The sequence below is a fragment of the Homo sapiens genome, chromosome 15, assembly GCF_000001405.40.
Source record: "Homo sapiens chromosome 15, GRCh38.p14 Primary Assembly".
In the NCBI taxonomy this organism is placed as follows: domain Eukaryota; kingdom Metazoa; phylum Chordata; class Mammalia; order Primates; family Hominidae; genus Homo; species Homo sapiens.
Window position 1 is genome coordinate 42,438,872 of NC_000015.10, and position 15,705 is coordinate 42,454,576.

At 40.5% G+C, this 15,705-nt stretch overlaps 1 protein-coding gene across 13 annotated transcripts in view; it reads right to left on the reverse strand.

Annotated features, from left to right (window-relative positions):
- The window catches only part of ZNF106 (zinc finger protein 106), a 78,319-nt gene that overhangs the window by 26,049 nt on the left and 36,565 nt on the right, over positions 1 to 15,705 (reverse strand). For 3 of the 13 annotated variants that reach the window (NM_001381993.1, NM_001366845.3, NM_022473.3), the window contains 7 exons: positions 10,900 to 13,083; positions 9,201 to 9,834; positions 7,718 to 7,787; positions 5,956 to 6,110; positions 5,331 to 5,391; positions 3,202 to 3,543; positions 162 to 942 (listed from right to left, as the gene is read on the reverse strand). In NM_001381993.1, coding sequence (NP_001368922.1) covers positions 162 to 942; positions 3,202 to 3,543; positions 5,331 to 5,391; positions 5,956 to 6,110; positions 7,718 to 7,787; positions 9,201 to 9,834; positions 10,900 to 13,083 — 4,227 coding nt within the window. Of the gene's footprint in view, positions 1 to 161; positions 943 to 3,201; positions 3,544 to 5,330; positions 5,392 to 5,955; positions 6,111 to 7,717; positions 7,806 to 9,200; positions 9,835 to 10,899; positions 13,084 to 15,705 lie in introns of all 13 variants that reach the window. The other 10 variants (NM_001381996.1, NM_001366844.3, NM_001381998.1 and 7 more) reach the window with 5 other exon arrangements.

Sequence of the window (15,705 nt, forward strand, 5' to 3'; positions counted from 1 at the left end):
AAATCTCTACTGCTGAGCTTTAATTTTTCCATATCCACAATCTCTACTGCATTCACATAAAGTTTGGTTTTTAAAGAAATTCTGATTCATAATTTCAAATTCTATTTAAAAAAATAAAGTTGGTGAAAGTTGTTCTGACTGGACCAATACAATATTCTTACCTTACAGGGATGCCATCTTTATAGCGAGTGCCAATTTCACTGGTAGAGCTAACTTCATCACACCCAGAACGAGACGTTTCTAGTGGGTTTTGCTCTGTAGAGTTCCAAATATCCTTTTTAGATGGGCTGTCTGGTTTCTCTTCTCCTGATTCTGAAGAATCAATGGCTACTACTTCTAACTGAGGATTAGGAATTTCTAGGACTTCCAGAGACGAGTCACTATCTGGCTCATCTCTGACACTCTCCTGCTCCCGACCAGTCCTGCTGTCTTCCCAAGTGGAGGTTGTTACTTTCCCCCCTTTAATTAACTTTCCAGCTTTTACTTTCCTTACAGGTTTAACAGTCAAAACATCCTGTTCAGTGTCACTATTCTCAGGAACATGGGCAGCCCGTAGACTTTTCTTCTTCCGGAGTTTCTTCTTTTTCTTGCTTCCCCTAGTCTCAGCTGATGTCAAAGTGGATTCTGCCTGTTGTTCAGGCTGGTCAGCTGGAGAGTGGGGTTCCTTCTCCAAAGGGGTTTCTGAAGCAAAAGACAATCTTAGAAAAGAACTGGTACAGGCTTCAGACCCACTATTGCCTTTGGTTGGCTCTTCCCCTTCTTTATTTATGCTAGAAAGACCAGCTGATTGGGAAGAGGGAGAGTTTTCTCTGTTTCTGGTATTTCTTTGCTCCACAGAAAACTTCAGTTCTTGGCTAGGCTCATGGAAACTTTCTGTTGACTCTGGTAAGGACAATCTAGCAGTGATGACTGGATAAACTGGACAACTGTCACTGATCTCTCCTGAATTGAGAGGAAAAAAATTATTGCATCCTTTTTTGTGTTTGCTGCAATTTATCACTGACTGAAACTCTACCAAATATTTCAATGATATGTTCAGAAAACCATGACTGTTTCAGCTGGTATCTCACCCCTCAGTTTCCCATCACCTACATACACTCCTATGACAACACTTACTACCCTCTGCCTTGCGTGAATCTCACAAACACTGTGTGTCTTATTCCCTACAAAAGCTCCTTGTGGGGAGGGATTGTTTCTATCAATCTTTTTTCTTGTTTTAAATGTCCACACATTTAACATTGTGGTTTATTCTTAGTAGACACTTAAATGTCTACTTAGCTGAAGTCCTTTTACTTTTATTTCTTTGAAGTTTTCATTATCCACACCCATCCAATTTAGCTACAGCTTAGTAGTTAAAAAAATTTGCTGACTTAGAAATGTCAATTTCCTTTGACTTAGTTACTTCATGTCTAGGAATTAAAAGTGATGAAATAATCACAGATGTACTCAAAGACATATACAATGCAGTGTTACACAGAATATGAAAAAAGTTAGAAAACTAAATATTCAAAAAAGATTCACCACATAAATTATTGTTTAGCCAGATTATGCAACTATTCAAATATTATGCAACTTGTAATATAAAATACTTTAGATAAATTATTTTTACAACAGAAAAATCATTATATATTAAATGGAAAAAGTCAGGTTATATATGACTGCTCCTTTGTACAAGTTCTACATGTAAACACAAAAATATGATTTAAGAAAGATTGAAATAATATGTAATACGAAAAATAATAGTACCAAAATATTTCATGTAATCCATAAATATATACACCTACTATGTACCCACAAAAATTTAAAATAATTTTTAAAAATATGCTAGGGGCTGGGCAAGGTGGCTCATGTCTGTAATCCCAGCACTTTGGAAGGCTGAGGCGGTCGGATCACTTGAGGTCAGGAGTTCAAGACCAGCTTGGCCAACATGGTGAAAGCCTGTCTCTATTAAAAATACATAAATTAGCTGGGCATGGTGGTGGGCGCCTGTAATCCCAGCTATTCGGGAGGCTGAGACAGGACAATCACTTGAACCTGGGAGGCAGAGGTTGCCGTGAGCCAAGAGCATGCCATTGCACACCAGCCTGGGCAACAAAAAGCGAAACTCTGTCTAAAAAAAAAAAAAAAATATATATATATATATATATATATATATATATATATATATATATATATATGCTAAGTCACGCGCAGTGGCTCACACCTGTAATCTGAGCACTTTGGGAGGCCAAGGCGGGTGGATCACTTGAGCCCAGGAGATCAAGACCAGCCTGGGCAACATGGTGAATCCCCATCTCTACTTAAAAAAAAAAAAAAAAAAAATTAGCCGGGCATGGTGGCAGGCATCTGTAGTCCTAGCTCCTCTGGAGGATGAGGTGGGAGGATCAACTGAGCCCAGGAGGTCAAGCCTGTGGTGAGCTGTGATTATGCCACCATACTCCAGCCTGAGTGTCAGAGTGAGACTCTGTCTCAATAAATAAATAAGCTATATATTTGATACTAACATCTAGATTAATATTGCAACATAGTACTGGTAGTAAAATCTAGAGTAATTTTTTAAACTTTTTGCTTTTGCTCAGGAAACCACACAATGCCAGTTTGTTGGACTTAATTTTCAAATACAGCACCACTGTGGTAATGCAAACTTCTAACAGGATTTTACATAGCTTAGACGTATTCTCAAATGATAACCAGGTAAGTGTTATTTTTTGAAAAGAGTGAAAACCCTGGCTATTTCTCAACAGCAAGTTCTTAGTAGATGATTCCAAACCCCATCATGGCCACCTGCCTCTCACGCTTATATTAATCCTGGTTTGTATTTGAGATTATATAGACAGTAAGTGCAAAGAAATTCAGAGGATAGACCTTATTCAGAAAATTGGCTGAATTAACTTCAACCCCATTTATTTCACACGAAACAAATTTTGTACTTATCCTAATAAATGGAACCTTGTGGGTGCTAATACAAAGTCAACTCTAACCCTAGATTAGAGGAAATGAAAGAAAATGACTGATATTTAAATTACATTCTCTAAAATATTTTAAAAGAATCCTCCTGTATATATGAAGAGAATTCCAGTGACAAATTAGTTGTACTTGCTCATTTTAGTTTTAATGAGCAAGTATGGCTTATATCACTCATATAAAAATGCCCCAGTCTCACTACTGGGATGCCCTTAACCCAGAGAAAAGCTTACATACTATTAGCTTCCAGTAATTCCTTGGACACATTGCAGGCAGAGCTTGGTGGCACAGCATTCACATTCTCATCTTGTTCAGGAGACATGGGCTCTTGTTTAATCTGAACTGATGAGTCTGGAGCAGGGACACTGCCATGGGTTTGGAAAGTAGGAGACGTGGTTATTTGAAGAGAGGCTCCGGTGGGTGATGGAGACACATGGGAAGATGGAGGCTCCAGAAAAAGTGGGAAAAAGGGAGTGGGCAGCAGTGCGGCATCAATGGATGTTTGAGATCTACTGTTCCTTCGTTCTCGTGTGAGGCTACAGGGAACCTGGTCTGGGTGCTCAGAAGGTTCATATGTTTCTAGAATGGGAAACATACATACATAGAAATGCAAAAATGTTATCTGAAAAGTCATTTGTGTCTGAGCTAATTTGTATTTTTAAACATTAGAAAAGAATTATAAATAAGTATATTAGTATAGTCCCTCATAATTCTCCGAAATATGGAGAATATAATCTCTACAACCACCAAGGATACAGAGAGAATAGGCATCAACATTCTTTTTTTTTTTTTTTTTTTTGAGATAGGGTCTCGCTTTGTCACCCAGGCTGCAGTGCAGTGGTGCAAACACTGCTCACTGCAGCCTTGACCTCCTGGACTCAAGCAATTCTCCTGCCTCAGCCTCCCAAGCAGCTGGGATTATAGGCACATGCCACTATGCCCAGCTATTATTGTTATTATTTTTTTGAGACAGAGTCTCACTCTGTCACCCAGGCTGGAGTGCAGTGGCGCAATCTCGGCTCACTGCAACCTCCACCTCCCGGGTCCAAGCGATTCTCCTGCCTCAGCGTCCTGAGTAGCTGGGATTACAGGAGCACGCCACCATGCCCAGCTAATTTTTGTATTTTTAGTAGAGATGGGGTTTCACCATGTTGGTCAGGCTGGAATTATTATTATTACTAATAATAATTATCAATAATTTTTGTATTTATTTGTAGAGACAGGGTTTCACCACATTGCCCAGGCTGGTCTCAAACTTCTGGGCTCAAGGAATCCACCTGCCTCAGACTCCCAAAGTGCTGGGATTACAGGCATGAGGCACTGTGCCTAGCAACATTCCAATTTTTCAAATTTTAAATGACTTATCCAAAGTTATATAGGCTACTAATGGAAGGGAGAAGATTTGAACCCAGGCCTTTTGATTCCTAATCAAAACTCTTTCCATAACATATTGTCTGTTGCTAAACATTTTTGGGATGCACAGTTTACAGACCTTTCTATAGAAGGAAGAAACTGGCCAGGCGTGGTGGTTCAGGCCTGTAATCCCAACCATTTGGGAGGTCAAGTTAGGAGGACTGCTTGAGCCCAGGAGTTTGGGACTATCCTGGGAAACACTGGGAGATTCCATCTCTATAAAAGCATTTTTTAATTTTTATAACTTTTTATAATTTTATATAACTTTTTATAACCTTTAAATTTTTACAATTTAAATCATAATTTTATAAAATTAAAAGTTAGAAATTTTAATAACCAGGCATGGTGACACACGTCTGTAGTCCCAGCTACTGGGGGGAGTGAGGTGGGAAAATTGCTTGAGCCCAGGAGGTCAAGGCTGCAGTGAGCCATGATCGTGCCACTGCGCTCCAGCCTGAGTGACAGAGCAAGACCCTGTCTCAAAAAAACAAAAAAAAAGGATGAAACCAAGGAGACAGGAGAGAAATAACATGACCTTTTCATGACTACTTTTCATCCCCTCAAAGAGAACAAAAAGGCCTGGTGCAGTGGCTCATGCCTGTAATCCCAGAACTTTGGGAGGCTGAGGCAGGCGGATCACCTGAGGTCAGGAGTTCGAGACCAGTCTGGCCAACATGGCGAACCCTGTAACCCTGTCTCTACTAAAAATACAAAAATTAGCTGGGGGTGGGGTGGGCACCTGTAATTCCAGCTAATCAAATGCTGAGGCACGAGTATCACTTGAACCTGGGAGGCAGAGGTTGCAGTGAGCAGAGATTGCACCACTGCACTCCAGCCTGGGAAATAGAGCAAGACTCTGTCTCCAAAAAAAAAAAAAAAAAAAAAAAAAAGCAGAGAAAACAAAAAAGTAACACGCTATAGAGGGCCCAATCCATCAGATGCCCTCTGAATACCTTGTAATCCCTGTAGAATCTGTATTCTATGGGTCCTCAGTGCACTCATCTCCATAGTTATCTAAAAATAAAGTATTTTATTAAGCATTTTGAAATCCAACTTGTAAGGTCCTCTAGGTCTCCCCATTTTTCTTCTATGTCCTGACCAAAAATCAGAGTGTCTTGACTGCTCTGTGACCCAGCCAGCCGCAGGTTTTCTCCAGCAGGCTTGAACCCTACCTGGGGCCTTGAAGATTCCCAGGCACTGATAAAAGTATCTAGGTTGTTGCCCAAAACACTGAAAGAAATTGGCCCTGGCCCTGAGCCAAATTCCTTAAACCCTCATATAAACTCCACATCCCGCCCCCTGGCTGTGGATATACCTAGGGAGAACACCCTTGTGGGGACTGCTGCAGCCTACTCTGTAAGTAAGCTCTCCTAATAAATGCTTTGGACTCATCACCCTGGCATTTAGTGCTTCTTTCTTTGGAATCCTAACTGTCCCCCATTAGGCACAGTCTGGGGCACTTCCCTTGTGGAAACTCCCCTGCCATTGCTTTTGGGGTGACTCCAGACATGGGTTTGGCAGCACAAAACAAGATTTCGGAGATGATCCATTTTTATTAAATCCTCCACATGCTGTTACCTGCTGCTTGAGCATAAGTAGCCTCTGAACTTCCACATAAGCTGTCTGAAGGGCTGCACGGGCTTGCAGAAGATTGTTATCCATGCACTGCAATGACTTACTAAGTTCTTCCTCCCTTAAAGAAATATTCAGCAGCTGGTCAACCTGAGAACGTTCTGCCAAAAGAAATCATAAGGTTCAGGTTAATACGAGAGATTTCCCTCTCATCACACAGCTCAGAAGACTAAACTATACCCATTATTTAGGATAAGACTTTATGTTCTCCTCAGTAGGTCATTGGAAATTCATAAAACATTTAGTCAAGCACAATGATATCAAAGCTAGGAACCAAAAGTGAGAACTGCTAAGATGGAGGTATCTCATAAGCTCCAGTGTACCATCACATCATTCTGTCTCATCTAATCACCGCCTTCTACCACCACCTTTCCAGGTGAAATCTGTCCCATGCAAACCACCTGTTCTAGGACTCGTTTCCCATTCTTCCTTTATCTACCACTGTCTTCACACAGGACTTTTGCTTAGATTGGACTCTAGACCTAGACTGCTTGCACTCTCTTTCCAATCCATATTTAGTCTGTTAGTTGACTTAAAAATTGTTTTTATTAGAGAAGACTTCCTGAAGAAAATACAGCTTTGAAATAGTACATTTAACTTAGTTTGAATAAAATGTTCTGTGTATGTATTTACCATCATTGTGTTTGTCTGTTTCCTATTCAATATGCCAGGACCTCTCCCTTAAGCTCCACACCCACATATCCAACTACTGACTATGATATTTCTAGCTAGGTTATCTCAAAGGTCCTTTAAGTCAAAGAATCCCTGAGGGAATTCATCATCTTTCTCTATTCTCAATCTGCTCCTCTCATGGAGTTTTCTAGCTCTACATATGCTCCATCTGGTTGGCCCAGCCAGAAATGTGGGTTGTCCTTGACTCCTCCCTTATCCATCACATCCACTCACTCAAGCCTCATCCAATCACTTCCAGGACTAGCCCTTATACTAGAACTGGGTTAGAGTCAAGGAAAAGCAAGAATCACAGAAATACATCAATGAGGGAGCAATGTTAATAACTTCTTTCCATAATTCACTTTAGAAAAGCAACCAAGGAAGGGAGTGTGGAGGTGGGGCAGCGGGGAAGCAACCAAGATGCCTCAAAAACTGAAAGTGAGAGAAATGGCTATACATGACCAAGAGGGCCAACACATTTCATCCCACTGAAAAGGCTCAAGGAAACTTCCTGGCTTTATATTGTCCAAGTGGTATACTAACCTTGGCTTACAAGTCTATGTGACATCATATATTTCTTCTACAGTTGTTAACTGGATGTATTAGGAAATCAAACTTTTCTTTCCTCTTAAGCAAGGCAACAAAAATGTCCAAAAAAAGTAAATGGACAATCAGTGTTTGATAAATGACAAGCTATGCTCTGTGTCAAGCTGCACAAACGCTGAACTGCTACAAGAACCTCTTGGGGCTGGGCACGGTGGCTCACATCTATAATCCTAACACTTTGGGAGGCCAAGGTGAGAGGATCACTGGAGTCCAGGAGTTTGAGTCCAGCCTGGGCAATATAGCTAGACCCTGTCTCTACAAAAAAATAAAAGAATTAATGTAGTGTCACATACCAGTAGTCCTAGCTGCTCGGGAGGCTGAGAGAAGAGGATTGCTTGAGCCCAAGAGTTGGAGGTTACCAAAAACCCGCACCCCCCAAAAAAAACCAAAAAACACCAACTTCTTTCTTCCAAAATATTCTGCACCATACCTTTTTTTCCTTTAATTTTCCTTCTTTTATTTTTTCTCTCAAGACTTGGGAGTTCAGGAGAAGATCCATCCTGGAAGGATAAAGAAAACTGAATAAAATCCAATGTGTAAAAGCCATTATCCAAGAGGAGAAAAAGGAATCAATTCTAAGATAGCCATACACTGTTCTTCACTATTGCTACCATCTCTAACATGATCGTAGAAGTCTCACGCACGTGGTACCAACGCAAACTTTAGTTGAATAAACGTATCTGATTTAAAAAAAAAGAATCCAGGGTGAAGTGCCTCCTAGCATCCTAGAGGTAGGAAAGCCCATGGAGGTCAGGGAAAGCATTTCATCTTGGTGTAGTAAGGCACAAGTAGAAGTATAGACAAAGCCAGTAAAATAAATATATCTGATTTATAACTTGGCATAGTTTCTACTTTAAATTTCAGCAAGAAAACCTTTACAACAAAAAGCTTAACAGTCCATGAGACAAGCTCTTTGTCATAGGACAATCCCTCAGCTTGAAGTGTATTTTAAGTCATCCAGTAACATCCACTACATATAGCATCTAGCTCAAAGGAGCAGAATTGCAATTTGAAGCAAGTCTAAAATTCATGACCTTAACTACTATGCTTATCACCTCAGTATTAAATGAGAGAAGCCCAGCACAGTGACACATGCTTGTAGTCCCCGCTACTTGGGAGGCTGAGGCAGGAGGACTGCTTGAGTTCAGGAGTTCCAGAGCAGTATGGACAACATTGTGAGACCTCATCTCTAATATAAATTTTAAAATATTATAAAATAAATAAATAAATAATGAAGAGAAGAACCCATTTTTTTTCACATTGCCAGATCCCAGACTGTATCACTACCAGCAACTCTTTCTTTTCAGAAAGGGATACTGAGAGGGTTAAGCCAATATTAGCGGCAGAAATGCCGGAAGAGCAGAAGTGGTATCAGTGAAATAAAAGACTCTTAAAGGCCAGGGTGGGTAACTGAAGGACGAAGGACAGAGTTACACAGACTAAAAATATTTCTATACTCTGCTCATATATATGCACTCTAATAGTATTAAAACCATCTTAGTGTTAAGCCTATCACTCCTGAATCCAGCAATCATCCATGCCCTACAAGTGCAACAGTAGAACGCCTTTCTTCAGTAGCAGTGCAGAACGCATCTATGAAAACAGATTGGGTTACAGCTGAATATGTGACTTATCCTTGGTCAGGTGATACAAAGAATCATTGGCTTGGACACTGGTTTTAGATATGACTTCATATTTTCCTGGTACTGTACATTCATATTAGATTACATTTAATTTAGCAGAATTACTCAGTGTAAGAAACCAGTAGGATGAAAGTAAGAACCTCACAATTCTTCTAGAAGTTGAGAGAATCACAATCCCAGATACCCAAGAAAAACAGTTGAACCTTTTTTCATAAGCAACCAACTTGCCACATGCGATGTTCTACAAAAAGCAGAGGGAATTATACTCACTCCAGTGGCTCTTCGTTTCTTTCTAATACTTTGGCCATCATTTTGTTCAGCACCAGAGGTACAGCTACTATCTGTGGCTGCATCCGCTAAACTGGAGATCGCAAGGGCTGAGGATGCGCTTGATGACAGACAGTTTCCCTCTCCATTACTCTCCTGGGAATTCTGATTCTCTGACGGTGGTATAGACCTCTCCTGGCTGTTCAAGTCTTTTGCCAAATGCATCAAAGGTATTATATGGTCAGAGGATAATTGTGCACTATGTCGCCTTTGGGTAGCAACATTTTCAGCCCTTTCACCTGTTCGGAGGGAGGCAGCCCGAGGTGTCACTTCTTGTTTGAGGTGCATGGTTGCTTTCTGGCTCTGTCCAGCCCTCAATGAGTTACTAGGTGAAACCATCTGCTGGGGCTCATTTTCTTTGCCTGTACCTTCCTCACTGAAGAAGCTATACACAGAAGGAGCTCTGTCCATGATCACGCTGCTCTCAGAAAGGCTTCGCTTTCTTGCCAAGCCAGGGGACGAGGAAATGGAAACACCTTCCCACTGGAATCCTTCTAGACTGGACAGATCAGGTTCCCCATCCAAATCTAAGGCTTCTTGTTCATTTTGAACAAGGGGTACCATTTCTATGCCAAACCTTAAGGAAGAAAGAAAAAATGAAAACATAAATTGGATATGGTTGTTGGGAGGGGCATTATTTTTTAATGTGCCAGGCTCTCTCAAGCACTGAGGTTATAAAAAGTAAGGTGGCTCTTGCCTTCAAGGGGCTCACAGTCTAGTCAGTGGTACAGATATAAATATATTACGTTGTCACAAGTACCAGATTAGAGGTTTGTATACAGCTATAATAATATATTTGAGGGAGTAAAAATTGAGTTTTGTTTCATATGGAGCGCTAAATCTATAATAATACATACAGCATATAATTTTTAAAAGCAAACAAACCAAAACAAAAAAAAAAACCCTTTTACTGAGCACTTACAAGTGCTTTATACTTACAATTTCAAATGCTACTCACAAGGTGTGGGAAAGGAAAGTGGGGGGAAATAAACCCATTATTTCAACAAGTACAGAAATGCCCCTGAAGCCTGGAGAACTGTATCATCATGCAGCAGAGTTATGACTTTCAAGTAGCAAACTTACGTTGAACACTGTTTTAGCATTCAGAAAAGTCTAGTACCTCAACATAAGATGAAGAGCCAAAATATTACACAAGCGCTTAAGAGAAAGCATGTTGTAGTCATAAAGATAATGCCCAGAGTACATACAGAAAAGTTAACTATTCGTAGGTTCTAAGTAAAAGGTAATGAGAACAGTTGTATTTAAAAGTTATAGCACGCATTCCAAAATTAAGATCTAGAAAAAGACAGAGATCTATAGCTCTACATTTTTATGCTGTCATTTTCTACCCCTATAAAGTGACGGATTTTACCCCTGTAAAGCCATGACTTTTTTCCTACGTCACCACCTTGTTTCTCAAGTAGGTGTGCTTCCATTTTAACCTGCACTCTCTGCTAGGAAATACTTTATTCCATCTGTCATAGAGTATCAGTCACTATTTGATATTAAATCAAGACATCTACAACAGATATTGTTGGCAAACATTTAATTAAATGAAACACGTAGAATTCTCTTGATCAGGGTCAAAGGGTTACTTTAAAAGAAAGTGAGGAAAAAAAAGACACCGAAAAGCAGCACACACCTGGGTAAGCCTTTGCCCAGCTCTTGCTTTTTCTTGGTTACTTGCTGAATGACCTGTTCCCAGTTGACATTTCTCCGAGATGCATTTAGAATCTGCCGTAGGGTTGGCTTGAGCCCAGACTCCTTCTCTGTCTCACTCTTTCGGTGACCGCTAATATTGCGAATGCGGCGGGCACTATTGAGGTTTGGCTCAGGAAGGTGTACTCCAGTTTTGCTCTTCAAACTAATGTGCCGGGTTAGATCCCTCTGAAGTGAGGCAGGAAAGCCAAGCTTACTTAGTTCAGGCAGGAGAGGGCCCGAGGGCTGACTGATGTCACTTTTTTGAAGCTCTGCATCCAAGCTAGCACTCTCAAAGCCTTCTGTTTCATAAGATACATGAGATTTAATAGAGTCATCAACCTGTGCATCTTCTAGAGAGGTTTTCAAGTCTAGCAATAAGCCAGGGTGTGGACTGGCTGCAGATGTCATTTGTAATTCAGATTCTTTCTGGCGAACTATGGGATTACATGGGGAAGTGGATAGCTCTCTAGAAGTCTTCAGGATGCGGTCATCCTCCTCTTTCTCATCAGCAGTTCGAGTGCTGCCAGATAACAATTCTGTAGTTGCAGAACCTAGGGTTCCAATTTTTGTTCCATGCTTTTCCGTGTCAGATGTCTCTCCATCACTTTCATCTTCTAGTGCGTGCACTTGAAACTCAATTTTCAAAGACCCTTTTTCAGATTCTTCTACATTTCTACTTGCTTTTGCATAGTTCCTGGTACTTTTAGAAGTGCTAAGAAGTGGATTTTGCAATGACTCATGACACTGTAGCACCTCTTTGGCCTTTCGTAAAGTATCATTTAAATTATCACCAGATTGCTTTTGAGAGCCAAATGTACTTTTATTCCCTTTTAAAACATGAGGACATGAACTACGCAGTTTGGATATGTAAGGACCATGGTTATCTTCCACAGTGGGCTTGTTCGAGGGATTTGAGTGTTCTCCAGGGGAAAAAAAATTTGTTTTGGTGTTTTTTGAGATATTCTTTGGATCTTGCTTTTGAGACAATGATTTAGTGGCTGGACATGGAAGGAGTGGGGATTTCAATGATGGCATTTTATTTGGTGTATGCTCTTGTTCAGGTTTTTCTGCAGTGGGGCACTGTCTCACCACCTCGAAGGAAGCAGCGGAATCAGAAGAGGCCTTGTGATTAAGAGATCCAGTATGTATTTCTTTTTGTGTTTTCTGTGTTGGGGAATTACGTGTTTCATCAGTTTGGGGCTCCTGTATTCCTGTAGTTATCAAGCTAAAATCAAAGAGAGGTTTCTCTATCATTTCTGACTTGTTACCAGTGATGTCTTTCAATCCCGACTGTAAATCCAGAGTCTTCTGAGAAGGGTAAGGCGTCCAGCGACGAGGCTTTTCCCTTGCCGCACTGCCATTCTTTCCACTAACTTTGGAAGTAGCAGTGTCTGCTTGTTTAGTGGTTTGGCTTTCCAGCTGCTCAAAATTGAAGTCGAGTAAGCCTTCTGAAGGAAATTTATCACTTGTAAATCCTTCAGAAGGACCTCTATATGTGGCAACTGTACCAAGTTTGTCATTTTCTTGCCGCTGCCAATTATATCTGTCGTGACTGTATTTGTTTGACTTATTAGATTTCTTGTTCCATAGCATAGTCATGTCTTCCATTTGACAGTTAGAATTTCTGTTTCTGCCTGGTTGAAATTTGTCTCCAGGGCCACTGTAATTCCAATTATTTGTACTACGTACACTGGATTTCCAGTTTCCGTTACTGTTGTTCATATGCCAACTGGAAAAGCCACCTGTTCCTTCAGAAAGCCAACTGGAATTCCTTCCTGTACCATTATGATTCCAATCTACTGCTCCACTATTTGAAAGCCAACCACCTCCAGAATTACTATGGTTGTGAAACCAAGTCGAGGAGCCTCCTGCAACACCCTTATGCCACCCGGAACGTCCTCTTGGTCCACCACCATTCCTCAAAGAATGTGGAAAGCTGTTTTTCCTAGTATTATTAAAGCCATCTTTTTCCCATTTCCAATCCCGCTGTGGAGGTCCACGATGATGCCATGCAGGCTGACTGTAACTCTCTCTGTCTTGGTAAGGAATTCGGTCTTCTCGTCTCCATTGGGGTCGTCTGTCATCAGAGTTTATTTCTTGGTTGCTATTGGAAGGTTCATCTTGTCTGGAAGAAAAACAGTTTTTCATTAGCGATTTAAAGGAATTCCTATGCTACCTTGAAAGGCATAACCCACCAAACTTCCCTTGTACTTTCCTCCCGTTACTTAGAATATGTAACCGAGTCTGGTTTTATATCTAATAGTGGTTGTTTTCATATCTTTAAATGATATATTTAAACGTATATTCCTCAACTTATTAATTTAAAAATAAAACATTTTAAATTACTTAAATTTCAAGTAATTACAACCATCTCCCCCATCACTCAGAAATATTAAAAATTTGGCACATTTGGCCAGGTGTGGTGGCTCACATCTATAATTCCAGCACTTTGGGAGGCCGAGGCGGGCAGTTCACTTTAGGTCAGGAATTCAAGACCAACATGGCCGACATGGAGAAACCCCATCTCTACTAAAAATACAAAAATTAGCCAGGCGTAGTGGAGCACGCCTGTAACCCCAGCTACTCGGGAGGCTGAGGAATGAGAATCACTTGAACCCAGGAGGTGGAGGTTGCAGTGAGCTGAGATTATGCCATTACACTCCAGCCTGGGTAACACAGTGAGACTCTCTCAAAAAAACAAACAAAAATTTGGCACATTTATATTCCCTCCCTTTCTTGGTCTTGTTTTTCTTGGCATGTTCTGAGATTTTGTCCCTATCATCCAATTATTATTTTTGTATTATGCAGGTTTTTTGGAAAAAGAACAAGTATATTTTATAGCTATAGTTATCTTTTTTTTTTTTTTTTTTTTTTGAGACAGAGTCTTGCACTGTTGGCCAGGGTGGAGTGCAGTGGCACAATCTCAGGTCACTGCAACCTCTGTCTCCCAGGCTCAAGCAATTCTCCTGCCTCAGACTCCCGACTAGCTGGGATTACAGGCATGCGCCACCACACCCGGCTAATTTTTGTATTTTTAGTAGAGACGGGGTTTCACCATGTTGGCCAGGCTGATCTCAAACTCCTGACCTCAGGTAATCCACCCACCGCGGCCTCCCAAAGTGCTGGGATTACAGGGGTACAGGCTTGAGCCACTGCGCCCGGCCTAGTTATCATATTTAGTACAATTTTATGTTCAGCTGCCCTTAATACCATGATTTTTCCAGTTGTAGGTTCTTTCTGAAAAACTCCATTTCTTAACCTATTTTAAATAAGATGATACTTTGCATGGTTATTTTTATTAATAAACACTTTGTCCAGTACCCATTCAATAACTGTTAGTGGTATAAGAAGACTTTTATGTACAGTTCCAGTTTGTGAAGGCCTTAGAACCTAGCTGAGACAGTAAGGTCACAAACAGGAGGAAAATAGCATATACCAAACAAGTAGTAACCATAATATGTGCTATAAGGAGCTTCATGAGCCAGAGGTTTTTAAAAAGAAACTACAGCTGTTTCATGTTCATGTCAGACGAGGAGTCCACAGAAACATGAATAAGCTTCAGTAAGCATCACAGCAATAGGTGTAAAAACCATTTTCTTCTACAAACTGCCTATGGTGTGCATGGGCATGGTGCTTAGCATGTGGTAAGTGCTCAAAATACTGAGTACTGCTAGCTAAAATTTACTGAGTACCTGAGTGTCAGGCATTTAATGCTAAGCACCTTATATAGATTATCTCACTTAGTTTTTATAATCCTGAGGCAAGTATTTTTTTTTTTTTTTTGGAGATGGAGTCTCGCTTTGTCGCCCAGGCTGGAGTGCAATGGCACGATCTTGGCTCACTGCAACCTCTGCCTCTCGAGTTCAAGCGATTCTCCTGCCTCAGCCTCCTGAGTAGCTGGGATTACAGGCTCCCGCCACCACGCCTGGCTAATTTTTGTATTTTTAGTAGAGACGGGGTTCCACCATGTTGGCCAGGCTGGTCTTGAACTCCTGACCTCGTGATCCGCCCACCTCAGCCTCCCAAAGTGCTGGGATTACAGGCATGGCATGTATTCTTATTATTCCTACTTTATAGATGAGAAATTGAGCAGTAGAGAGAATACATAACTTGCCTAGAATAAGATAGCCAGAAAGCAGTAGAGCAGAGATTTAATCCTTGGCAATCTGACTCCAGCCAGAGTCTATACTCTTAACCACAGGCCTTCAGAGAATCAACATCTCAAAACAAAGTTTCCACATTTAAGTTCCTTCCTCTGACCTTGACTTAAAAATCTTAAACTCAATACTGACTTTAATTGGCTTTAAAGGCTTTCAATGTCTATGATATTTTGGACACAAATTGGAACTTCTTCCTTTTTCACAAGACGGAATTTAAAAGTCTATTTAGAAGTTCAAACATCCACTCATATTATATAAATTACAATCATTTCTAAACAGGAGACTCTTTAGAAAGTAACAAGTATTATTACATGCAGTAGCAGAATTTTTTTATAACCATTAACCAAATTGCCTTTATCTTTTGATTCTATGCAATATGCAACTTCTGGCATCCAAGGAGACCACTGACTCAGCTATACTGATATGATCAGAAATGGGAGAACTGGGGGATAAATAAATCACAAAGTAGAATTCCTAGATCATCATGAATTGGCTAGATTCAGAAGATAGGAGCATTCAGCTAAACCCATAGACCAGAAAGAATAATCTAAGTTAAAAATTCATGAAGGAAAAAAGAAAAAAAAAAA